At 40.3% G+C, this 27,691-nt stretch overlaps 1 long non-coding RNA gene across 4 annotated transcripts in view; it reads left to right on the top strand.

Moving 5' to 3' along the window:
* The window catches only part of LOC101928842 (uncharacterized), an 88,319-nt gene that overhangs the window by 39,886 nt on the left and 20,742 nt on the right, over positions 1-27,691 (top strand). The window contains exon 5 of one of the 4 annotated variants that reach the window (XR_001744244.2): positions 10-2,533. The exons of the other annotated variants lie outside the window; for them this stretch is intronic. This is a non-coding gene — a long non-coding RNA (uncharacterized LOC101928842). Of the gene's footprint in view, positions 1-9; positions 2,534-27,691 lie in introns of those variants that run through there. 4 annotated transcript variants of the gene reach the window in all.

The following is a 27,691-nucleotide window of genomic DNA, read 5'->3' on the forward strand; positions in this document are numbered from 1 at the left end:
TCTTTGCAGATGACATGATTATATATTTAGAAAACCCCATCGTCTCAGCCCAAAATCTCCTTAAGCGGATAAACAACTTCAGCAAAGTCTCAGGATACAAAATTGATGTGCAAAAATCACAAACATTCCTATATATCAATAATAGACAGAGAGACAAATCATGAGTGAACTCCCATTCACAATTGCTACAAAGGGAATAAAATACCTAGGAATACAACTTACAAGGGATGTGAAGGGCCTCTTTAAGGAGAACTAGAAACCACTGCTCAAGAAAATACAAGACGACACAAACAAATGGAAAAATATTCCATGCTCATGGATTGGAAGAACCAATATTGTGAAAATGGCCATGCTGCGCAAAGTAATTTATAGATGCAATGCTATCCCCATTAAGCTACCATTGACTTTCTTCAGAGAATTAGAAAAACTACTTCAAATTTCATATAGAACAAAAAAAGTGCCCATGTAGCCAAGACAATCCTAAGCAAAAAGAGCAAAGCTGGAGGCATCATGCTACCTGACTTCAAACTATACTACAAGGCTATAGTAACCAAAACAGCATGGTACTGGTACCAAAACAGATATATAGACTAATGAAACAGAACAGAGGCCTCAATAATAACACTACACGTCTACAACCATCTGATCTTTGACAAACCTGACAAAAACAAGCAATGGGGAAAGGATTCCATATTTAATAAATGGTGTTGGGAAAACTGGCTAGCCACATGCAGAAAACTGAAACTGGAATCCTTCCATACACCTTATACAAAAATTAACTCAAGATGGATTAAAGACTTAAATGGAAGACCTAAAATCCTAAAAACCTTAGAAGACAACCTAGGCAATAACATTCAGGACATAGGCATGGGGAAAGACTTCATGATTAAAACACCAAAAGCAATGACAAAAAAAGCCAAAATTGACAAATGGGATCTAATTAAACTAAAGAGCTTCTGTACAGCAAAAGAAACTATCCTCAGAGTGAACAGGCAACCTACAGAATGGGAGAAAATTTTTGCACTCTATCCATCTTACAAAGGGCTAATATCCAGAATCTACAAAAAAGTTAAACAGATTTACAAGGAAAAAACAAACAAACAATCCCATCAAAAAGTGGGCGAAGGTTATGAACAGACACTTCTCAAAGGAAGACATTTATGCAGTCAGCAAACATATGAGAAAAAGCTTATCATCAGTGGTCATCCGAGAAATGCAAATCAAAACCACAATGAGATACCATCTCACACCAGTTACAATGGTGATCATTAAAAAGTCAGGAAACAACAGATGCTGGAGAGGATGTGGAGAAATAGGAACACTTTTACATTGTTGATGGGAGTGTAATTTAGTTCAACCATTGTGGAAGACACTGTGGCGATTCCTCAAGGATCTAGAACCAGAAATACCATTTGACCCAGCAATCCCATTAGTGGGTATATACCCAAAGGATTATAAATCATTCTCCTATAAAGACACATGCACACATATGTTTATTGCAGCACTATTGACAATAGCAAAACTTGGAACCAACCCAAATGCTCATTAATGATAGACTGGATAAAGAAAATATGGCACATATACACCGTGGAATACTATGCAGCCATAAAAAGGATGAGTTCATGTCTTTTGCAGAGGCACGGGTGAAGCTGGAAACCATCATTCTCAGCAAACTAATACAGGAACAGAAAACCAAACACCGCATGTTCTTAGTTGTAAGTGGGAGTTGAACAATGAGAACACAGGGACACAGGGAGGGGAACATCACACACCGGGGCCTGTTGGGGGGTGGGGGCCTAGGGGAGGGATAGCATTAGGAGAAATACCTAATGTAGATGACGGGTTGATGGGTGCAGCAAACCACCATGGCACGTGTATACCTATGTAACAAACCTGTACATTCTGCGCATGGATCCCAGAACTTAAAGTATAATAATAATAATAATAATAATAAAAGAAAATGACCCTCAAAAAAAGAATAATTCCTCATATGATTATGATTATGATTAAATGAGATAATATATACAAGGTAATTTGTATACTTAAAGTGATGAACATCAGATAGATAACACAACATTTTATTTTTATTTACTTGTTTATTTTTAATATATACTTTTTATCTCAGTAACTTGGGGGGTACAAGTGGTTTTTTTGTATTCAGATAAATTCTATAGTTGTGAACTCTAATTTTACTGTACTCATGAGCCAAATAGTGTACATTGTACCCAATATGTAGTTTTTTTTTTATTTCTCACCCCCCTCCCACCCTTCCCCTTCTGTGTCTCCCGTGTCCACTGTAACAATCTGTATGCCTTTGTGTGCCCATACCTTAGCCCCCACTTATAATGAAAACATACAGTATTTGGTTTTTTATTCCCGAGTTACTTCATTAACAATAATGGCTTCCAGTTTCATCCAAGTTGATGCAAAAGACATTATTTCATTATTATTATTATGTTTTTGTAAAACCATCTAAACTTATAGTTTATTTTTGGCAAGGTTTTTAAACAATAAACTCAATTTCTCTAACAGATATTAAGTCATTTGACTATTTCTTCTGAAATCACTTTTAGGGATTTGCGTATTTCAATACCTTTTTCTATTTTGTTTAAGTTGGCAAATTTTTTTTTTTTTTGCCATATTGTGTGAGCTCAGTTTCTTTCTTTTTTTTTTATACTTTAAGTTTTAGGGTACATGTGCACAACGTGCAGGTTTGTTACATATGTATACATGTGCCATGTTGGTGTGCTGCACCTATTAACTTGTCATTTAACATTAGGTATATCTCCTAATGCTATCCCTCCCTCATCCCCCCACCCCACAACAGGCCCCGGTGTGTGATGTTCCCCTTGCTGTGTCCATGTGTTCTCATTGTTCAATTCCCACCTATGAGTGAGAACAAGGGTGTTTGGTTTTTTGTCCTTGTGATAGTTTGCTGAGAATGATGGTTTCCAGCTTCATCCATGTCCCTACAAAGGACATGAACTCATCATTTTTTATGACTGAATAGTATTCCATGGTGTATATGTGCCACATTTTCTTAATCCAGTCTATCATTGTTGGACATTTTGGTTGGTTCCAAGTCTTTGTTATTGTGAATAGTGCCGCAATAAACATATGTGTGCATGTGTCTTTACAGCAGCATAATTTATAATCCTTTGGGTATATACCCAGTAATGGGATGGCTGGGTCAAATGGTATTTCTAGTTCTAGATCCCTGAGGAATCGCCACTCTGACTTCCACATGGTTGAAGTAGTTTACAGTCCCACCAACAGTGTAAAAGTGCTCCTATTTCTCCACATCCTCTCCAGCACCTGTTGTTTCCTGACTTTTTAATGATTGCCATTCTAACTGGTGTGAGATGGTATCTCATTGTGGTTTTGATTTGCATTTCTCTGATGGCCAGTGATGATGAGCATTTTTTCGTGTGTCTTTTGGCTGCATAAATGTCTTCTTTTGAGAAGTGTCTGTTCATATCCTTCACCCACTTGTTGATGGGGTTGTTTGTTTTTTTCTTGTAAATTTTTTGGAGTTCATTGTAGATTCTGAATATTAGCCCTTTGTCAGGTGAGTAGATTGCAAAAATTTTCTCCCATTCTGTAGGTTGCCTGTTCACTCTGATGGTAGTTTCTTTTGTTGTGCAGAAGCTCTTTAGTTTAATGAGATCCCAATTGTCAATTTTGTCTTTTGTTGCCATTGCTTTTGGTGTTTTAGACATGAAGTCCTTGCCCATATCTATGTCCTGAATGCTATTGCATAGGTTTTCTTCTAGGGTTTTTATGGTTTTAGGTCTAACATTTAAATCTTAATCCATCTTGAATTAATTTTTGTATAAGGTGTAAGGAAGGGATCCAGTTTCAGCTTTCTACATATGGCTAGCCAGTTTTCCCAGCACCATTTATTAAACAGGGAATCCTTTCTCCATTTCTTGTTTTTCTCAGGTTTGTCAAAGATCAGATAGTTGTAGATATGTGACATTATTTCTGAGGGCTCTGTTCTGTTCCATTGGTGTATATCTCTGTTTTGGTACCAGTACCATGCTGTTTTGGGTACTGTAGACTTGTAGTATAGTTTGAAGTCAGATAGTGTGATGCCTCCAGCTTTGTTCTTTTGGCTTAGGATTGACTTGGCAATGCGGGCTCTTTTTTGGTTCCATGTGAACTTTAAAGTAGTTTTTTCCACCTCTGCGAAGAAAGTCATTGGTAGCTTGATGGGGATGGCATTGAATGTATAAATTACCTTGGGAAGTATGGCCATTTTCACGATATTGATTCTCCCTACCCATGAGCATGGAATGTTCTTCCATTTGTTTGTATCCTCTTTTATTTCACTGAGCAGTGGTTTGCAGCTGTCCTTGAAGAGGTCCTTCACATCCCTTGTAAGTTGGATTCCTAGGTATTTTATTCTCTTTGAAGCAATTATGAATGGGAATTCACTCATGATTTGGCTCTCTATTTGTCTGCTATTGGTGTATAAGAATGCTTGTGATTTTTGCACATTGATTTCGTATCCTGAGACTTTACTGAAGTTGCTTATCAGCTTAAGGAGACTTTGAGCTGAGATGATGGAGTTTTCTAGATATACAATCATATCATCTGCAAACAGGGACAATTTGACTTCCTCTTTTCCTAATTGAATGCCCTTTATTTCTTTCTCCTGCCTGATTGCCCTGGCCAGAATTTCCAACACTATGTTGAATAGGAGTGGTGAGAGAGAGCATCCCTGTCTTGTGCCAGTTTTCAAAGGGAATGTTTCCAGTTTTTGCCCATTCAGTATGATATTGGCTGTGGGTTTGTCATAGATAGCTCTTATTATTTTGAGATACGTCCCATCAATACCTAATTTATTGAGAGTTTTTAGCATGAAGGGCTGTTGAATTTTGTCGAAGGCCTTTTCTGCATCTATTGAGATAATCATATGGTTTTTGTCTTTGATTCTGTTTATATGCTGGATTACGTTTATTGATTTACATATGTTGAACCAGCCTTGCATCCTAGGGATGAAGCTCACTTGATCATGGCGGCTAAGCTTTTTGATTTGCTGCTGGATTTGGTTTGCCAGTATTTTACTGAGGAATTTTTCATTGATGTTCATGAGGGATATTGGTCTAAAATTCTCTTTTTTTGTTGTGTCTCTGCCAGGCTTTGGTATCAGGATGATGCTGGCCTCATAAAATGAGTTAGGGAGGATTCCCTCTTTTTCTATTGATTGGAATAGTTTCAGAAGGAATGGTACCAGCTCCTCCTTGTACCTCTGGTAGAATTCGGCTGTGAATCCATCTGGTCCTGGACTTTTTTTGGTTGGTAAGCTATTAATTGTTGCCCCAATTTCAGAGCCTGTTATTGATCTATTCAGAGATTCAACTTCTTCCTTGTTTACTCTTGAGAGGGTTTATGTGTCGAGGAATTTATCAATTTCTTCCAGATTTTCTAGTTTATTTGCATAGAGGTGTTTATAGTATTATCTGATGGTAGTTTGTATTTCTGTGGGATCGGTGGTGATATCCCCTTTTTCATTTTTTATTGCATCTATTTGATTCTTCTCTCTTTTCTTCTTTATTAGTGTTGCTAGTGGTCTATCAATTTTGTTCCTGTTTTCAAAAAAACCAGCTCCTGGATTCACTGATTTTTTGAAGGGTTTTTTATGTCTCTATTTCCTTCAGTTCTGCTCTGATCTTAGTTATTTCTTGCCTTCTGCTATCTTTTGAATGTGTTTGGTCTTGCTTCTCTAGTTGTTTTAATTGTGATGTTAGGGTGTCAATTTTAGATGTTTCCTGCTTTCTCCTGTGGGCACTTAGTGCTATAAATTTCCGTCTACACACTGCTTTGAATGTGTCCCAGAGATTCTGGTATGTTGTGTCTTTGTTCTTGTTGGTTTCAAAGAATATCTTTATTTCTGCCTTCATTTCGTTATGTACCCAGTAGTCATTCAGGAGCAGGTTGTTCACTTTCCATGTAGTTGAGTGGTTTTGAGTGGGTTTCTTAATCCTGAGTTCTAGTTTGATTGCACTGTGGTCTGAGAGACAGTTTGTTATAATTTCTGTTCTTTTACATTTCCTGGGGAGTGCTTTACTTCCAACTATGTGGTCAATTTTGGAATAGGTGTGATGTGGTGCTGAAAAGAATGTATATTCTGTTGATTTGGGGTGGAGAGTTCTGTAGATGTCTATTAGGTCCACTTGGTGCAGATCTGAGTTCAATTCCTGGATATCCTTGTTAACTTTCTGTCTCGTTGATCTGTCTAATGTTGACAGTGGGGTGTTGAAGTCTCCCATTATTATTGTGTGGGAGTCTAAGTCTGTTTGTAGGTCACTAAGGACTTGCTTTATGAATCTGAGTGCTCCTGTATTGGGTGCATATATATTTAGGACAGTTAGCTCTTCTTGTTGAATTGATCCCTTTACCATTATGTAATGGCCTTCTTTGTCTCTTTTGATCTTCGTTGGTTTAAAGTCTGTTTTATCAGAGACTAGGATTGCAACCCCTGCCTTTTTTTGTTTTCCATTTGCTTGGTAGATCTTCTTCCATCCCTTCATTTTGAGCCTATGCATGTCTTTGCACGTGAGATGGGTTTCCTGAATACAGCACACTGATGGGTCTTGACTCTTTATCCAATTTGCCATTCTGTGTCTTTTAATTGGAGCATTTAGCCCATTTACATTTAAGGTTAATATTGTTATGTGTGAATTTGATCCTGCCATTATGATGTTAGCTGGTTATTTTGCTTGTTGGTTGATGCAATTTCTTCCTAGCCTTGATGGTCTTTACAATTTGGCATGATTTTGCAGTGGCTGGTACCGGTTGTTCGTTTCCATGTTTACTGCTTCCTTCAGGAGTTCTTGTAGGGCATGCCTGTTGGTGACAAAATCTCTCAGCATTTGCTTGTCTGTAAAGTATTTTATTTGTCCTTCACTTATGAAGCTTAGTTTGGCTGGATATGAAATTCTGGACTGAAAATTCTTCTCTTTAAGAATGTTGAATGTTGGCCCCCACTCTCTTCTGGCTTGTAGAGTTTCTACCGAGAGATCTGCTGTTAGTCTGATGGGCTTCCCTTTGTGGGTAACCCGACCTTTTTCTCTGGCTGCCCTTAACATTTTTTCCTTCATTTCAACTTTGGTGAATCTGACAATTATGTGTCTTGGAGTTGCTGTTCTTGAGGAGTATCTTTGTGGCATTCTCTGTATTTCCCGAATTTGAATGTTGGCCTGCCTTGCTACGTTGGGGAAGTTCTCCTGGATAATATCCTGCAGAGTGTTTTCCAACTTGGCTCCATTCTCCCCATCACTCTCAGGTACACCAATCAGACGTAGATTTGGTCTTTTCATATAGTCCCATATTTCTTGGAGGCTTTGTTTGTTTCCTTTTATTCTTTTTTCTCTAAACTTCTCCTCTTGGTTCATTTCATTCATTTGATCTTCCATCACAGATACCCTTTCTTCCAGTTGTTCAAATCGGCTACTGAGGCTTGTGCATTTGTCACGTAGTTCTTGTGCCATGGTTTTCAGCTCCATCAAGTCCTTTAAGGACTTCCCTGCATTGGTTATTCTAGTTAGCCATTCATCTAATCTTTTTTCAAGGTCTTTAACTTCTTTGCCATGTGTTCGAACTTCCTCCTTTAGCTTGGAATAGTTTGATTGTCTGAAGCCTTCTTCTCTCAACTCGTCAAAGTCATTCTCCATCCAGCTTTGTTCCATTGCTGGTGAGGAGCTGCATTCCTTTGGAGGAGGAGAGGTGCTCTGATTTTTTGAGTTTCTGGTTTTTCTGCTCTGTTTTTTCCCCATCTTTGTGGTTTTATCTACCTTTGGTCTTTGAAGATGGTGACATACAGATGGGGTTTTGGTGTGGATGTCCTTTCTGTTTGTTAGTTTTCCTTCTAACAGTCAGGACCTTCAGCTGCAGGTCTGTTGGAGTTTGCCGGAGGTCCACTCCAGACCCTGTTTGCCTTGGTATCAGCAGCAGAGGCTGCAGAACAGCGGATATTGGGGAACAGCAAATGTTGCTGCCTGATCTTTCCTCAGGAAGTTTTGTCTCAGAGGAGTACCCGGCCGTGTGAGGTGTCAGTCTGCCCCTACTGAGGGGTGCCTCCCAGTTAGGCTACTCGGGGGTCAGGGACCCACTTGAGGAGGCAGTCTGTCCGTTCTCAGATCTCTAGCTGTGTGCTGGGAGAACCACTACTCTCTTCAAAGCTGTCAGACAGGGACATTTAAGTCTGCAGAGGATTCTGCTGCCTTTTGTTTGGTTATGCCCTGCCTCCAGAGGTGGAGTCTACAGAGGCAGGCAGGCCTCCTTGAGCTACGGTAGGCTCCACCCAGTTCGAGCTTCCCAGCTTCCTTGTTTACCTACTCAAGCCTCAGCAGTGGTGTGTTTCACTCCCCCGCTTTGCTGCCACCTTGCAGTTCGATCTCAGACTGCTGTGCTAGCAATGAGCGAGGCTCCATGGGCATAGGACCCTCTGAGCCAGGTGTGGGATATAATATCCTGGTGTGCCATTTGCTAAGACTGTCAGAAAAGCGCAGTATTAGGGTGGGAGTGACCCAATTTTCCAGGTGCAATCTGTGACCCATTTCCTTGGCTAGGAAAAGAATTCCCCAACCCCTTGCACTTCCCGGGTGAGGCAATGCCTTGCCCTACATCAGCTCAGGCTCGGTGCACTGCACCCACTGTCCTGCCCCCACTGTCCGAGAATCCCCAGTGAGATGCACCGAGTACCTCAGTTGGAAATGCAGAAATCGTTTGTCTTCTGCGTTGCTCACACTGGGAGCTGTAAACTGGAGCTCTTCCTATTTGGCCATCTTGGCTCCCCCCTATTTCATTATTTTTTATGGCTGAGTAGTATTCTATGATGTATACCACATTTTCTTTATCCACTCATCAATTGATGGACACTTAGGTTGGTTCCATATCTTTGCAATTGTGAATTGTGCTACAGTAAACATATGCATGCAGGTGTCTTTTTGATAGAATGACTTCTTTTCCTTTGGGTATATAGTGGGATTGCTGGATTGAATAGTAGGTATACTTTTAGTTCTTATAACAAACATTTTTAAGAAGAATTAGACTTCAGAAGAGATAAGAAACAAAGTGCCTGTAATCCCAGCACTTTGGGAGGCCAAGGTGGATGGATCATGTGGTCAGGAGATTGAGACCAGCCTGGCTAACACAGTGAAACCTCGTTTCTATTCAAAGTATGAAAAATTAGCTGGGTGTGGTGGCATGAGCCTGTAGTCCCAGCTACTCGGGAGGCTGAGGCAGGAGAATTGCTTGAACCTGGGAGGTGGAGGTTGCAGTGAGCTGAGATTGCACCACTGCACTCCAGCCTGGACAACAGAGTAAGACTCCATCTCAAAAAAAAAAAAAGAATAAGATAAGTGAACAAGCTTATTCCTTAGGGTAGTGCAGAGAAACAAAGTTAACTGGCTGTGGAAGTTCTAGGGAATAAAACTTGACTCTACATGTCCTAGGAGGTAGTACTCAAAGAGATGCCCTGGACAACAGTATAGCTTAGGGATGAATACCATGATTCATTTTTGTCAGACATGGTGGGAAGGATGGGGAACCTACTGAGTTCCTATAATGAATCTTTTTTTTTTTAGTGATTTTTCTGAGCCAAATGTTTGTAAGAAGCAGAAACTTCTATATGGAAAAAATTTAGTGTTTAAAAGGAGTTTTAGGAAGGAAGGCTGCCTGGATGCTTTTCTGAGAAAAGGACAGAGAAAAAATGGTGGAGTCAGAGCAAAAATCACATTCAAGAAATGGAAAATCAGGTTCCAATGTACAAACTATGCCCCAGGAGGACCAGTCTGATGACCTTCTCTTGCTGAGGTGACTTAAGGGAGATAAATGATGTGTAACACAGACTGCCTGTATAATTCAATACGTCTACAGTGTCTGTGTTCCAGTCACTCTGCCGGATACCATGGGACATATAATGGTGAAAGAAATATAACCCTTGCTTTCTGGAAGCATATAGTCTACTGTGATCAGTGCTATAAAAAGATAAAAGGAGAGTATATTCAATGTTAGAAGAAGGAAGGATAATTTTGGCTGTGTAACCTGAGAAAGAAGTGGCATTTGAGCTGGACTTTTACGCATTTTGACAGTCAGATACAATAGAATAGGTATTCCTGGCAACAAAATGGCATAGGCAAAATATATTATTTACAGTAATGCTAGTTTTAAATCAGATAGCTCCTGAACTATCAGCAGCATAATAAAATAGAGATTTATTACTCAATTGCTTTGTTCAGAGGGTGTTCAATGGGCAGTCTTCCCTGAAGTGACTCAGGGACCTAGGCTCTTCTGTTGCATGATTTCACCTTCCCCTAGAGCCTCAGAATCTTTAGCTTCAAGCCAGTGTATGGAGAAAGATAGACTGTGGAGGGTTTTAGAGGAGATTTTGTGGTTTAGACTGGAAAGTGCAAACATCACTTCTCCCTGTATTCCACTGGCCAGAACTTAGTTGCATGGCTCCTCTAGAAACAAAGGAACCTGGGAAACGTAGGTTGAGACTGAACAGCATCCACTGTCTACTCCCAAGCCTATGTCAGGACAGAGAAGGAAGGAGAAGTTTCATATTAGATCAGCATGCAGAGTTTTAATTATTAACTGCACCAAACAAGTTGTGTGATTATTAGATGGTTCTAGACTCTATTATCTGTAAATGATCAGATTACTTTTTCTTAATAAGAGATTGTAAAATGAAGAGACCTGCCCAAGATCTCATCTGAGGGTGGAAATAACTTTTCAACAGATCTGGTTTATCACAGAGGAGTTTCTCTTTGCTTAGAAGAGTCCAGCTTTTTCTATAATTGGTTACCAAGTTAACAAAAATGGGTAACAAGATGAAGAAAGCATTTTATGGGACCTTTTTATTGGTGATTGAATGGATGTTTGAGTAAGTAAAATGAGTGGGTTGAGGAAGAAGGTTTAGTTTCAGTCATATTGAGTTGAGGTATTAGTGGAATATCTGGGCAGAAGTCTCCAGCAGTCACCAGGAAATGTAGAACTGGCTCTGGGAGAGAGGAAAGGGATAGAGGTAAGGGTTTAGGGAAAAATCCATGACAGCTTTCTTTTATTTTCCCACTGTACCCTCAGTGTTTTAATTACAGATAGGCATTAATCCAAGTTAAACAAGGCTCTGATAAAGACCATTCTTTTATGAATGTTTTGGCTCCTGTACTTGATAACCAAACATCTCTACAGTAGGACAAACTGAGCGAGATTAAAAAATATTCTCAGTGAGGCTTTAACCTAACTATCCCTCTGATGAATCTAGGCATGTCTGATAAATATTGTCTGGTTTAATGGCCAAATCCATAGTGAAGTTGTAATTTTGGTGACTTAAAGTAACCCAGATCTATAGATTTAACAAAACCAACCTGCCTCACTCAGAACAAGTGGTTACAAAACGATGATTGGGTTAAAGAAAGGAAATGTATGGAGAAAAAACTGTGGCAAGATAGTTCTTTTATCAGATATTCTGTAAAGATAAGACATTCAGACTAAGCACCATTTTAGAGGAAAAGTTTAGGTCATAAAAACAAAATTAAATCTAATAATTTGGATTAATAATTATTAGTTAATTCTTTATCAGATTGTACTAGCCCACATTGCCACCAACAGTATATAGGCATTCCCTTTTCTCTGCATCCTCACCAACAGCTGTTATTTTCTGACTTTTTAATAATAGCCATTCTGACTGGTGTAAAGTGTTATCTCATTGTGGTTTTAATTTGCATTTCTGTAATGATTAGTGATGTTGAGCATTATTTCACATGCTTGTTGGTCATTTATATGTGTTCTTTTGAAAAATGTCTTTTCATGTCATTGCCAGATTTTTAATGGGGTTGTTTTATTTGTTAAGTTGTTTGATTTTCTTGTAGATTTTGGATATTAGTTGCTTGAATACATAGTTAGCAAATATTTTATCCCATTCTGCAGATTGTCTGTTCATTCTGTTGATTATTATTATTATTTTTACTGTACATAAGCTTTTTAGTTTAATTAAGTCACATTCATTTATTATTGGTTTTGCACGTGCTTTTGAGGTCTTAGTCATAAATTCTTTGCCCATGTTAATGTCCAGAAGAGTTTTTCCTAGGTTTTCTTCTAGCATTTTTGTAGTTTCAGATCTTACATTTAAATCTTTAATCTATCTTGAGTTAATTTTTGTATGTGGCGAGAGATAAGGGTCCAGTTTCTTTCTTTCTTTTTTTTTTTTTTTTTTTTTTGCATACGGCAATCCAATTTTCCCAGCACCACTTATTGAATACGATGTCCTTTTCTCGGTATGTGTTTTTGGTGACTTTGTCAAATATCAGCTGGCTGTAGGTATTTGGTTTTATTTCTGGGTTATCTGTTCTATTCCATTGATCTATGTCTATTTTTATACCAGTAACATGCGATTGTGGTTACTATAACCTATAGCATAATTCGAAGTCCCATAATGTGGTGCCTTCAGCTTTGTTCTTTTTTCTTAGGACTGCTTTGGCTCTTTGGGCTCTTTTTTGGTTCAATATGAATTGAATTTAAAAACGAATTTTAAGATTGGTTTTTCTAATTCTGTGAAAAATGACATTGGAATTTTGATAAGTATTACATTGAATCTGTAGATGTTTTGGGCAGTATGGTCATGATTCTTCCCATTCATGGGTATGGGATGTTTTTCTATTTGTTTGTGTCATCTATAATTTCTTTCATCAGTGTTTTGTAGTTTTCCTTGTAGAGATCTTTTACCACCTTAGTTATATATATTCCTAAGTATATTTGTTTTGTAGCTATTATAAATGGGATTGACTTCTTGATTTGGTTCTCAGTTTAATATAATAACTTTTGGTATATATAAATGCTACTGATTTTTTTACATTGATTTTGTATTCTGAAACTTTTCTGAATTCATTTATCAAATTTAGGAGTATTTTGGAGGAGTCTTTAGGGTGTTCTAGGTATAAGATTATCAGCAAACAGAGCTAATTTTACTTCATCTTTTTCTATTTGGATGCCTTTTTTCCTTCTCTTGTCTGATTGCTCTGGCTAGGACTTTCAGTACTATGTTGAATAGCAGTTGTGAAAGCTGGCATCCATGTCTTGTTCCAGTTCTTATGGGGAATGCTTTCAACTTTTCCATGTTCAGTAGGAAGTTGGCTGTGGGTTTGTCCTATATGGTTTTTATTATTTTAAGGCATGTTCCCTCAATATCTAGTATGTTGAGGGTTTTTATTACAAAGGAATACTGAATTTTATCAAATGCCTTATCTGCATCTATTGAGATGATGATAGGGTTTTTGTTTTTAGGATTTTCAAACTCTAACTGCAAACTTAGCTGGTTGGGAAGGTATCCTAGTCTCTCAAGGCAATGGAGTATAACTGTAGCTGCATAAGAAAAAGTAAATTGAATAATATAATAAAAAAGACATTAATATATTTAAATCTATGTTATTCATGATTTTCTAATAGTTTTCTAATACCTGTACTAATCAATTCTAGAAGCATTGCATTTATTTTATATTCCTTTTAAGGTGTTTAAAGAATTTTTAGGATCTGATATGTCCTTGATTCTAAAAATCAATCCCTCCTAGCCCCTTCTCTTTTCCTGGATGGCAGCTTTTCTGATCTCATATAGCTTCACTCTTTCCCCTTTTTTCTTAGAATCTGTTCCTTCTCTGCTATAGAAAAGAAAAGGTATATTTCCCTCTGACCCCTTTTTAGAATTTCCTAAAATGTTCAAATAGTGTTGATATTAAGAAATTACCAAAAGGTAGTATAGTTTTTAATGTAGCTTGTATATGAATATGTGCATCTCCAAAAACTCAGTCATGTTCTTTAGGATTTCATAAAGAGAGGGAAGAAACAGAGCCTAAGGCTAAGCAAAGAGAAAAGCTACAGGGGAGAACAATTCCCCAAGGTGCCTGATAGGCTCCCGCCATGGGGAGCTCTAATTTGAGCAGCTCTCCAGCCCTGAAGAGCTTGGGTGGGCAGGGAAGGGATGAAAGTATTTCCAGAGGTACCCTAATGTCAGCAGTGCTGAAAATAACCCAGAGAGGAATCAAGTAAGCACGACACTTACTCAGGTATCAGCATAGGTAACAAAAAGGAACATGTTAAAATAAAAAGAGAAAGAAACCAAACCTTTTATCACATATGGTAAGATAAATACTTAGCAAGTAACTAAGGATGCATGGTCCCTCCAATTAATGGCAGAGAAGGGGACTGGAGAGGGGTTTCTTATTTCTCGAGTTAAGTTTCTTTCTCTGGAGGAGTTTAGGGAGGGTCAGGGGAATGGCTGTTCCATATATAGACTTTCAGTGAATCCCCCTGTTTTTAGTCTCCTTTTTTTCTGCTTTCCATGGTGTCTGATTTTTTTAAGTCTAGAAACTTCTTAACTATCTCTCACATTAACATCTCATAGGATAGGGATTGGCAAGCTATGTTCTGTGGCCCAAATCTTGCCAGTCATCTGTTTTTGTATAGCCTGAGAGCCAAGAATGGTTTCTACATTTTAAATTACACTTTAATATTTATATTTTAAATTGAATTTTAAAATATATCCAAGAAATAATATTTTGTGACACATAAAATTATATAAAACTAAAATTTCAGTGTCCATAAGTGAAGTTTTATTGGAATGTAGTCATGTTTATTCATGTCTATGTTGTCTATGGCTGCTTTCATGCTACAATGACATAATTGAGTAGTGGTAACAGAGACTTAAATAATATCCTTTATTTTGCCTCTTGGCCTACAGAACCTAAAATGTTTACCATATGGCATTTATAGAAACAGTCTGCCATCCCTGACACTAGGTGGTAGGTCCTCTGCTCTGTTCTGTCAGTAGTGTTCTTTTATCTCCTTTGTGTCTTTTATATATTCATTGATACAACTGTATTGATGGCTCCTTCTCTTGTCTTTGTTGTTGTCAGTTCATTTCATTTTTATTCCTTTGCTAATATTTTGGGAAGCTAAAAAAATGGATAAAATGCTACTTGAGAGGCCGAGGCAGGAGAATCACTTGAGCCTAGGAGATTGAGGCTGCAGTGAGCTGTGATTGTGCCACCATACTCTAGCCCGGGTGACAAAGCAAGAGCCTGTCTCAACAAACAAACAAATAAAAAAAAAACCCCACTAAAATGTATGTGGCATAAATATGTCCTAACACACACACACTCATTTAATATATATAAACAGAGAACAACTGTTCTCAGTACAACAGGTAAGTACTGTTCTTCTATCTACTTTGAAGATAAGGATGCTAGGGTCAGAAAAGTTACTAACTTTCCCAAGATCATCACACAGCTAGGAAGTAGTAAGGCAAGATTCAAACTCAGATAGTCTGGCTCCCGACTCTCACCCACTACACAATACTCCTTTGATTCCTGTGAGAAAGATGAGGCAAATTTGTGTGGTTTGTCCACTGTCATGATTCATAAATAGATCCAATGTAGTTTAGAATAAATGAGAATTCTGACAAGTTAAGTTTTATTAGGAGGTAGGGAGGGGGAAGAAATGTGCCCAAAGTGAGGGGAGATGGAATTCTGTACTTATCAAATGTTTGTTTCTTGTGTCTTAACATTTGGCTCAAGGCGATACTTTTCAGTTTGGCAATATGGTATTATTTTGTGTTATTTTATATTAGAGATAGGGTTGCATTCTGTTGCTCAGGCTGCAGTGTAGGGGTATGCCCATAGCTCACTGCAGCCTTGAACTCCTGGGATCAAACAATCCTCCCACCTCAGCCTCCCAAAGTGCTGGGATTACAGGCATGAGCCATTGTGACTGGCCTCTGTTTGGCAATATCTTATGTCACCAACTGATGAACTATAGCATAGGGGAAGCAGTGGAGTAGGGCTTGTGATCTTAACTGTTCTAAAGATTTGGGGGTATATCCATTTTTTAAATGTGAGAATTACTTCCAAAAGTGTTTATGAGAGGTGATCTTTGAAAATGAAGCTCTGGGCCAGGCATGGTGGCTCACGCCTGTAATCACAGCAATTTGGGGGGCTGAGGTGGGTGGATCAACAGAGGTCAGGAGTTCAAGACCACTCTGGCCAACATGGTGAAACCCTGTCTCTACTAAAAATACAAAAAATTAGCCAGGTGTGGTGGTGGGCGCCTGTAATCCCAGTTACTCGAGAGGCTGAGGCAGGAGAATTGCTTGAACTCGGGAGGTGGAGATTGCAGTGAGCCAAGATTGCACCATTGCACTCCAGCCTGGGCAACAAGAGTGAAACTCTGTCTCAAAACAAGAAAAAAAAAAAAAAAGAAAAAAAAAAGGAAAATGAAGTTCTGTGGATAAATAGATTCAGGAAATGAGGCATTCCATATTACTGTATGCTCTCTGAACACTTTGCATTAAATTTTTTGTTTGTTTTTTAAACCAATTCCCTCAATTTAAATGACCACAATTTTTTTTTTTGGCCTATATAAAATCTTTCAGTGTTCTAAGGAATTAGTGTTCTGTGGAACATACTTTGGGAAATATTATTCCTCATTTTTACTTGTACAGCAAGGTTGTATTGCGTCTGACATTGTAATGTAGGGAAAAAAGTAAATTATTTTATCTACAATGAATCTCTTCTTTTTCCCAAGATTTTATCTGTGAAGTAGCAGGGAAACAAATGGACTCATGTCATGTGTGATAAACAAAGACCAATATGACGAGTTTTTGGTTTCTTTTTTGAGATAAATGTTTACTCAGTCTCTCAGATGGCCTTCGCCAGTCTTGGCTTCTTTCCCTAAGTTGTGTCAAGGACAGGGCTCCCTGGCTTGTGCTCGTCCTGGGATATAGGCTTGCTGTTTTCTGCTGGTCTTAGGAGCAGTGTCTCTTGGATGACTGAGTGCTGCCGGCCCTGTTATAGACAGTGTGCACCTAATGGAACTCTATTTGCTGTCCCTCAGCAGGGCTCCTGGCTGACCTGGCCTCACCTCGCTCCTCTGTGAGCCTGCCACCCTGGTGTCTACCCCCAAGTCTCCTCTGTGAGGTCACTTGTCTGCCCAGCAGGCCCTGTGGCAGGCCCATTGTCTCTCAGGTGCAAACATGCAGGAACTGGAGAGATTTGGGAAAACTCAACCTCATAATCTTTCTTTTTTTTGCACATAGTGCATAGCCAAGTAGCTGTGTCTGCATCCCAGGCTGTTGTATTTAGGGAGAAGGGAAAAACTTGAAAGGTGCTCATTTTCCAGAGTCTTCCATGAGAAGTAGGTCACTATAGCTCTTATCTTTAACATTTATTTTATTTTCACTTATGTGAAACACATCCCCCTGAAATCCAGGGAGGGTAAAAGGGGAGACATCAGTTTGATAATTTTCAATCTCTTTCTCTGTTTTCTTCTCATTGTCTCCCAAGCCAGATGCTTATTTTATTTCTCCTTTATCTTTTCTTCTTCTATAGAGTGATCCTGGCTGTTGGTAGGAGTATGAGACACCCCTCCACATTAGCAAACCCTAGATTCTAAATCCATCAGCCTAAGTTGTTGGTAAGTTAATGAAGGGAATAAAGACAAGTAAAACATTCTTCCCCAAGATAACATTCTGGTGAGCAAAATTTATTGTCTTGCTGTATGTCCAATTTGTATGTAGGGGCAAAAAACAAACTTCCTCTTTGTTCTTTTCCTTACATTTCTTATATAACAAATTTAATCTACCTATTGGCAGATGGATGCCTAATGTAAAGTATGATATACTCAGAAAAGCAAAAGGAACAAAGCACATTTGTAAAATTTGAAACAATTACCTTTTGACCCATATTCTACCATCCTCTCCTAGCTGGCCAATGTTTTTAAATGGTTCTCTGATATTACTGTTTCTTGATTTTTCTTCTCCTGTCTGCTCTTTCTCTAATTTTCAGGCTCATCACCCTTTGTGCCTCTATGAAATATTGCTCCTTTCAAAAGTTCCATTTGCAGGCCATTGTTCCTCTCATTCTCTATACTGAATGATCTTAACCATACTAATTATTTTAATTGCTAAGCATACCCTGATTTTCCAAATCTATATTCTAACCCTGAACCTTGTATCTGGTTAATCTGTAGGTGCCTCAAAGTCAACACACTGAACCCATTCACCAGTGAATGCTTTCTTCTCTTGTGTGTGCCATCTCATTTAATGGTGGGAGAATTCAACCAGTTCCACACTGACACCTTAGACTCCTTCTTTCCCCAGAACCCCCAACATTGGCCTCCTACCTTCCCATTTCCAAACCTCCCAATCCAAACCACTACCAATTCCTCTCCATGCCCTTCTTTCTACCCTCACTGTAAATACCCTAGGCCAGGTTCTCATCATTTCTTACATGGACTATTCTAATAACTTGCTAAAGAATCTTTTTGCTCCTTATTCCCCCATATGATAGCAATCTACCTCCATGTTGCTGCCAGAATGCTCTTTTAAAATCCTTTGGGCCCCATCCCTACCCTCATTTTATCCTGTCTCACATCTAGCTACTTCCCATAAACTTGTTTTCCTCCAGTCATTCTTCTGGTAGTTCTTAGAATGCTTCCTGCTCTCTTATGCCTTGCTACTTTTACACAGGTGATTTATTCTTTTGGGTCACCTTTCTTTCTGTATCCATTGAGCTAATTCTTAATTATGCTTTATAAATTATTTCCTGCTACCTTTACCAGGAAGCCATCCCTTTAAATCCCAGCCTGAATAAGGCAGTGTTTCTCTGTGCTCCTTCACGCATACCTTTAATTCACATGCTCTTGTGGAGCCATCACATTATATTTTAATGTTTAACTCAACATTGTTTATTTAATGTTTATCTCAACCTTCTTCTTTTACTCTATTTGGGAATGGGAACTGTATCTTTCTTGCCGATTTCTTTGTCCCTGCTGCCTAGTTAAAGCCAGATACCCAGTAAGCTTTCAGTAAATATTTTTTTCTGAATGAATGTAAGAGGTTAAATAGAATAAGGATGGATAAAAGGTCATTGGATTTGTCTTTATGAAGGTCTCTGCTGATCTTGGGGAGAGGAGGTTTAGTAAGTATATTTAACTTTCACAGTCTGGGCATTGAGAGGCTTGAAGGTAAAGCTGCATGCTTGAACACCAACCTCACCTCTCCCTGCAATACTTCAAAATAGAAAGAAAAGCTGTTAAGAGCTTCTCAAAGTGAATTGTGGGGCAATTAAAGTGATAGAAAGATATGAGTGATTTGGGTGAGCATGCTTTTAGCCATGAAAAAGCAGCCAAATGCATCTGCTTCAATAAAATTCAGAGCAAAACCTTTGTAATCAGTCTGAAAACACCCAAGGCTTGCTTTCTTTTCTAAGGAAAGTAAAAATGATTTGGCAGCTGGATGCTTCATCATGAGAACAGTACTTAATCTTTCACTGTTTGAGTTATGTTAAAAAAATATAGGTATAAAGCCACAGTTCTTTCCTTCATGACAGGCTCATCCCCAAAACCTTGGGGGCACACAGTGGGGTAGCAGGTGAAGGTCCTGGCAGCAACCCTCACCCTGCCAGATTTCTGTATAAGTCCCCAGACCCCTCCTTTCAACATCTCCACTTACTCTTCTAACAGACCTCCAGGGCCCCAGCTGCTCAGTTAGACCAGGGAAGAGGCTGTCAGCAACCACATAACTAATTTCAGCCAGAATGTGAGAACCCTAGGCAGGTCATACCACAGTGATTAGGAGCCAAAAAATAATAATGGAATAATAATGGAATGACTCTCCATCCCCAGTCACTCAGGTGGACAGGAGGCTGGGTTAGGGCTGCCAGAGACCTTGAAAGTGTTTTGACATATATAGATCAGGTGAAGGATATACTTAACTCAGCAAGGTGCATTTCAAAAATTGTGCTGGAAGTTGAAATTGGAAGCCCCAGATAGTTGGAACCAGAGATGACTTGAATTAATAAGGGTGGGAGGGAGCAGGGAGAAGTGCGGGGTTTATGGTAACTCTATTTGTTAGGGTTCTCTAGAGAAACAGAATCAATAGGAGATACATTTATCTATATCTTCTATTGGTTATACATACATATATACACACACACATATATATATAAATATTATATATATATATATAAATATTATATATATATATATATATTTATTTATTTATTTATTTTAAAGAATTAGCTAATGCGATTGAGGAGCCAGCAAGTCCAAAGTCTCTAGAGCGGACCAGCAGGTTGGAGGCAGTCAGGGTTTTTATGTTGTCGTCTTGAGGCAGAATTTCTTCTTTGAGAAACCTCAGTCTGTTTTCTCTTAAGGCCTTCAGCTGATCGGATGAGGCTCACTCACACCATGGGAAGATAATCTGCTTCACTTAGAGTCTACTGATTTTAATGTTAATCACATCTAAAACATACCTTCACAGCAATATGTAGACTAGTATTTGACAAAATGATTGGGCACCATAGCCTAGCCAAGATGACACATAAAATTAACCACGATTGGCACCAAAAGAGGGACAGTGAAAGCCCACATGAAAAGGAAGAGCTAGGCCAGAAGCCTGAGAAGAGCCATAGACAAACTCAGTGTCTGTGATGGGAAGTAAACAGCTATGTCTGGTTGGTCAGGGCTGGAAAAGCACAAGATACAAGTTGTACTGATGCTGAGCTTGACCCCATCATGCCTTTTTAGATTTAGCTTAGTTCACTGGGCGATGGTAAAGATAGTAGATCAAAACTCCCAAGGCTTCCCACTGCAGGTCTTGCTCAAGTGGGCAGAGGCTAGGATTTTGTTTCCCTTATTTCTCCAGCAAAACATACTTGTCCTGTGTCTCATTTTATTAGGATGTTGCTGAATGCTTAGCATAGCCAAGTGTTAGTAGTCTGAGTAGTTTAAGACAGCAAATACCAACCTTTTGTTAATAAAAATATAAGCTCCTTCAATTGAAAACAGATGAGAAAATTCATGCCACAGTCTAAGTACTTCTGCAGTATCTGTTACTTTGAAAAGTGTGTCCTTCACAACATTTTGGAGTATCCTCATTGTCCTCTCCAGTGACACATTTTCTTTTTGTGCTGTGCTAGCTACTTACTTACCATTTCTTAACTTATCCTTGGCTTCATGATGACAGGCTGAATCTGCAAACTGAATTTTCAGGACTCCTTTGTAGCTCTACTGGGAGGAGTTGGCAGGAGATTCAAAAAAAGGAGGAAGAGAGAAGGCACACTCCTCCTGTTCCCAGGTTTTGTAAGCATCCCAACAGCAGTAGCTACAGAAGCCACAGACAACTCCAGCTCTTGCATTTTTTGGTATGCTAAGCAGCAGCTGCAAGGCACTCCCCTCAAAGGCCTAAGCACCAGATGTGCAGTATTTCCTCAACATACTTGAAAAACAGCCCCAAAGAAGCCCTGATTTAGAGATCTGAGTGCCTTTGTAAGACACATACATCCCCTCCCACAAAACCTCAAAAATTAGATGGGCAGTGCCATCTCTAATCTTTGAGTACCAGTTGTTCAAGGAGCCCAGTCAGGTCCAAGCACCAGATGAGCAGTGCTTTCCTCTATGTTCTGAAAGCCTAACATGTGGTGCCTTCCTTAGGAGTCCAAGCACTGAATTGCGGTGTCCCATCAGAGGTCCAAGTGTCAGCTGTGTGGGGCCCACCCAGGTCCAGAGGGGTGTACATGAGTTTGGAGCACCTCTTGTATGGTCAGAACCTCAGCTGCACAGCACCACCTCTTCTGCCCTATCTTTTCTCTTCTGTCCTCCAAGCCCTAGGGGTAGTGGTTGCCTTCTAGAGTTACCCAAAACTCTAATTGTTGTTCTATTAGCTTTGAGTTCAAAAGCCTATTAAACAATTTCCTGTATTAAACTTCTTGCATTTGAAATATCCATTTTACACCCTGGACCCTGAGCTGTGCATGTATCTTAGCTTTCCTAAAGCCGAGGTAGCTGAAACATACCAAGATTGTTATCTTCAGGTTAGGTTGTCACTGTGGAAGTGCAGGAGTGAAAGACTACTGATAAATGTTTTTGTTTTTTTAAAGTATTCTTTCCAAGGCCAGAGCAGAGACAAAAATGTTGAGCTTTAAGACCTTGAATTTTGGTTTCTCAAATACAGAGGTCTTGGGACACAAATTTTTTCTCATAAACAATAAGTATTTTCTGCCTCCCTCTCTGACTATATAAATATTCTTGAGTTAGGAGTTTTTCCTGCTGATGGGTTCGTGGTCTTGCTAACTTCGAAGAATGAAGCTGCGGACCTTCACGGTGAGTGTTACAGCTCAAAAAGAGTCCACGGACCAGGAGAGTGAGCAGCAGCACAGTTTATTGAACAAAGTGAAAGGAAAGCTTCTACACAGTGGAAGGGGACCTGGAAGGGTTGCTGTTGCTGGCTTGGGTGGCTAGGGCTTATATCCCTGTGTTACCCCCTCCCCTTTCTTTTTGTCCAGAGAGTGGTTCTTTTTCAATCCTCCCTTGGAGGGATTAATTTTGAATCCTTCACTCGATTGGTTAAGAACTCAAAACCTGAGTCACAAGGGTCTTTTGCAAAAGTCCCCAAACTGGCCCAGGAAGTCCCGCCAATTCCACCCCTCAGTCCTCCCTCTCAACAGGGGAGCCCAACTGCTGTTGGGGTGTGGGACAATGACCACTCTAACTGCTTCCTGCTGAATAGGGGTGTAGAAGGGGCCCTGCACCTGAGGTTTCCTCATGAGAGGTGGTTTGGGTGTCAACGTCCGGGTATGGGCTGGCAGGCTGGTCTAGAGGTCCTTGATAATAGGTGCTGGTTGAAGTCATCTGAGGTTCCATCTGCAGTACCATTTGTAGTTTCATTGATTCTATTCGAGAAGAAATGAAATGGATGAGGGAATTGAAAAGACTTGGGACAAAGGTTACTCCCAGAATAATCACAAGGAGGGGACCTAAAAATGGAAGAAGCCAGGGGAGAACATGCTGTGAGAAACATGAGGTAGCTTCGGTTGTCCCACTGTGTAGTCTGCTGGCTCTATCCTGAAGTCATTTAATTCCATCTCTGACTACTTGATTTATTGACATAAAAACAAGATTCCTCGTTCAGAAAAAGGCATGTTCTTCCCCTTTCAGCAGTGAGGAGATCTAGTGCTTGCCGGTTCTGGAGAACCGTGGCTGCTAATGAGTTATTTGGTCCTGGATTTGAATACGTTGGAGAGAGATTTCATCTAGGCTTTCTCTTAATTCTTTAGAGAGTGTTAAGGACACTGTGAGTCCAGTGGTTCCAGTTCCTAGTGTGATAGTAAATCCTAAACCAGCCGATAGAGGAAGTAGTGAGATTGCTCTTGGCTGAAGCTTAGCATGAATGGGCACAGCTACTGCCTCTTCTGAAAAGGAACAAGTCACAGGAGGTACTATGTAGGCTAAAGTACAAGTTCCCATCCAGTTGGTGGGGAGGCAAATATAGAAGGATCTTCCACACACAAAGAAAACTCCTTGCCGGGGTTCTATACACCCCTGTAGCTGAAAATCTAATAAGGGCTGAGGTCGGTCTGCATTAATTTCTCATTCCCATGATTTAAGGCTTCGGGACAAATGAGCCACTCCTAGTGGTTGGAACTGAATAGAATTTGTCAAGGACATATTATGGGGTTCCTCTAAGGCAAACTGGTGGCTAGCTGCATTAAGAAAAACTCGTGCTCCAGGGACAGGAAGCAGGGAGCAATGGGGTCTCTTGGCTCTTTGGAAGCTCTTTTATTTGTTCCCTTTTGGGCTGTAGAGCCCAGAGAGGCTTCAGCATTAGTAGGAGAAGGAGCTGTGGGGAGGCCTGGGTATGGGAGTAGACTTTGAGGACTCCTCGTGGGGTGCAGGTTACATGTCTTACACGATCATGGGTTACCCCTTAATGAGAAGAAGGTCTGAACATAATGGTACCTCACTCCACTTGCCTTCTTGTTTACAAAAAAGATCTAGTTGCAGGATGGTATTATAGTTTATACTTCCCTCAGGTGGCCATTGTTCTCCTCCTGGAAGAGGATATTGTGGTCAGGCAGTGCTGCAGAAAAATATGAGCCGCTTCTTTTTCAATGTCTGGGGACCAAATTGGTCCCAGTTATTCAGAATACACCTCAGGGGTGACTTTGCTTTGGAGGGAACATCTCCCATCTGAAAGGAGAGCATAGGGATGCCCACACCCCTAGTCATTCCCTGTGGACACTGGTTCTAGGGAGTTCTATACTGTTTTAGTGTCCTTTTTCCAGGGTGCGAAATCACCCATGGAACACTGCTTATCAGATTTAATTGTGCTTACCAACGTAGCAGTTTCAACTACAGTCTTTTCCCTCCCTTCTTAGCCACAAAGAAGGAGGCCAGGCTGCTGGGTTTAATGGCCTTTTACCAGCACGCCTGAAAGAGTTTTTTTTTCCTGTGAGTGGGTTCTAAGTCCAGGGTGTATTCTTAGGTGGTTGACGAGGCTCCAGTTGGCATATTTCTGAGCTTGAAACTGCCCCAGTAAGATAAACTCCTTAAAGATTGTACATAGACATAGCAATTTTAAGGTGGGGGGCAACAGGGCATTGGGCCAAGGTTGAAATAGCATCTCATGTACTAAGGCCTTTTGTCCCCGCTTTCCATCATAAGAATATGACTTTTGATCTCCCAGTCAATGGTCTATTATATTACTTAACTCCCACAACAGTGAGTGGTACCCCAAGTGGAAGAGCTCCATAGTTCGGATTGCTGATCACAAACAAGAAAGATGATAGGTGAGACGGTTCCCAGTGAGGTGGAGATGACAGAAAGAGAAATGGCCTAAGTCTTCCAGTAACCACTGGCACACACTATATTGTCCTGGGTGTTGCCTCAGGTGCTGAATATGAGGAACAGGTCCTGTATATTTGTATTGTTGCCCATCTACATAAGAATAAGCCATGGGATACCAGAAAAATGGATCTGAGGGTTGCCATCCTAATTGTTTTAGATTCCTAATCCAGAGAGTTTTCATCCCAGAGGTAGAGAAAATCCTGGAAGACAGGGTCTCAAGAAAGTCTTCCCTACAGACATTTGGACCCCGGAGGCATGGGTCTAGAAGGGTGGGTGAAGCACGTTTGGGAGGCTTTTTAACAAAGGTTTCACACAGCGCCATGATCTCGACCGGTGGTACCAGGAGCCCAGGGCTACTGTTTTCCACCTTTGGCTGGCCCTCAGTTCAACACAGAAAATGCAGAGAAAGTGAGAACTCATTCCAGGCAAACCAACACTCCTGACTCAGAAGGGTCGGGGGGTTGTTAGCCCTTTCCCAGAAAGCCTTCCACCTGTGTCTTTAGTCAGGCGGCCGCACTTGTCGCTTTTAAATGGCCGACAGGTGCCGTTGTTCACCCCCAATTATAAAGAAAAATAGAGCAGAGTAGCAAGAGAAAGAGTTCCGATGTTACTCACCACTTTGGAAATCCCAGGCAAGCCCCCTTGATGAGTTAGGAGTTTTTCCTGCTGATGGGTTCGTGGTCTCACTAACTTCGGAGAATGAAGCTACGGAACTTCGCGGTGTATGTTACAGCTCAAAAAGAGTCCACAGACCAGGAGAGTGAGCAGCAGAACAGTTTATTGAACAAAGTGAAAGGAAAGCTTCCACATGGTGGAAGGGGACTTGGAAGGGTTGCTATTGCTGGCTCGGGTGGCTAAGGCTTATATCCCTGTGTTACCCCCTCCCCTTTCTTTCTTTTTGTCCAGAGAGTAGTTCTTTTTCAATCCTCTCTTGGAGTGGTTAATTTTGAATCCTTCACTCGATTGGTTAAGAACTCAAAACACTGAGTCATAGGGATCTTTTGCAAAAGTCCCTAAACTGGCCAAGGAAGTCCTGCCAACTCCACCCCTCATTCTGAAAGGTAAGAAGGAGGCAAAAACTATAGGAGAAAAAAGCAAGATACTTAGAAACTTTTGAAGGTTTCTGAAATGGAGGCTCTGTTTCTTGCCCCTCCCCATCAGATTCACACCAAGGAGGGATAACAGAGCCATCAATAGGTGTGAGAGTCTGAGAACAGTAGGGAGGTTTTTCTTCCTCTTTCCTAAAACCATGACATTGCAGTTCCTGTTACCACCTTGGTGTGGGGGCAAGAAAGTAGAAATAATCACTGTACGTAGTAGACAGAGAGCTTCGGTATCAGGAACTAAGGGGGCCCTAGCCCATTATGTCAGGTTTTCTGCCTGTCCAGGCTGAGAAAGAGAGATGGCCAACTTAGAGTGGTTTAGAGTTGTGATGAATGATGATTTTGGTGGAAATAAAGCAGAGTATATAACCAGAGTCTGGCAAAGAGTGTGGACACTTCTATAGATGCCAGTGTAGATAAAAGACAACATCTGAGAACCACAGGGTGCTAATGTGGAAAACAAATATAGTCTGGACAGAGAATGCAGAACACACAAATGCCTCTTCCTCATGCCATGATGCTAGGTAATGCCTGCCTCAGGAGCTTAGAAAATGCTAAAGTGAAAAAGTGGTGATGGGAAAGTTCTATGCCTATTTATTATTTTTTCTTTTTGAGATGGAGTCTCACTCTTTTGCCCAGGCTGGAGTTCAATTGCGTGATCTTGGCTCACTGCAACCTCTGCCTCCTGGGTTCAAGCAATTCTCCTGCCTCAGCCTCGCGTGTATCTGGGATTACAGGTGCGTGCCACCACGCCCAGCTAATTTTTTGTATTTTTAGTAGAGACGGTTTCACCACGTTAGCCAGGATGTTCTCGATCTCCTGACCTCATGATCTGCCAGCCTTGGCCTCCTAAATGTTGGGATTACAGGTGTGAGCCACTGCACCCAGTCCTATGCCTATTTTTAAACTAATTTTTTTGAATTTTAACTAAAATACCCAATTTAGCAAGTTTGCCTAAGATTATATTATCTCTCATAGGAAGAAGAAAATTATATTGTTACAAGAGAATAAATATGTGCTTTTTGCATAGCTGAACATATGGACATTTATCCTAATACATATGTTCAGAGTGTCCCTCTTTTCAAGAAAGTGCTGGTGTAAAACATATTTAATCAGGAGATACTTTTTTGTATTAGAGAGAATAGCTTTGTGTCTGGGAGGAACAGAAATGTTTTCTTTCTTGCAATACAAATCAGAACAAAGAAATAATAATGAGGAGTCTGAGTGTTTTCCTCAGAAACAAAGAAACAACTTGAGGCATCTAATATAATCTAGGAAACCCAAATGACAAAACCAAAGCTACTTCTGAGTTACTTTTAAAAGTCATAAGGAACCTTTTCTCCTCCAAGATTAGAGGCTTTTAGTGTGCCTTAGCCAGTTGAAAAGAGCAAGATAATACATAAAGATAAACTGTGAGGAAGATAATACATAAACTGTGAGCTTTAATTCAAGATGAAAATGGGAATGCACTGGAATTGTGAAAGACATTCCACCTGGAACACTTACTCTCCTGGATTAGGAGTGTAGGTAACCTCCCATCCCCATGCAAGAACCTGGGGCCAAGGAGGTTTAACAGATTCATGCCTAGGCACACCTCTGGGTGCTTAGCAGCTGCTCACTAGATTCTCTCCTGGCATTGGTTCTTGTGCCTGTCATCTGGGGACCTGTATGTGGACTCCCCCAGTTCAGTCTCACCCATCTTTGTCCCCACCACCCTAGGGCTGAGCAGGGAGCTCAGACCACTCTGCACTCCATGGATCAGCCCATTGCCTGAGGTAACAGAAAGCCTCTCCCAGTAAACAAGGATCAAGTATTTACCCAGCCACTTTGGCTACAGCTCACTCTTATTTATAAGCACCATCTACAGCCCAGCAGGTCCACTACACAGCCCAATAGAAAACCTG

The sequence above is a fragment of the Homo sapiens genome, chromosome 6 (assembly GCF_000001405.40).
Source record: "Homo sapiens chromosome 6, GRCh38.p14 Primary Assembly".
Taxonomy (NCBI): Eukaryota; Metazoa; Chordata; class Mammalia; order Primates; family Hominidae; genus Homo; species Homo sapiens.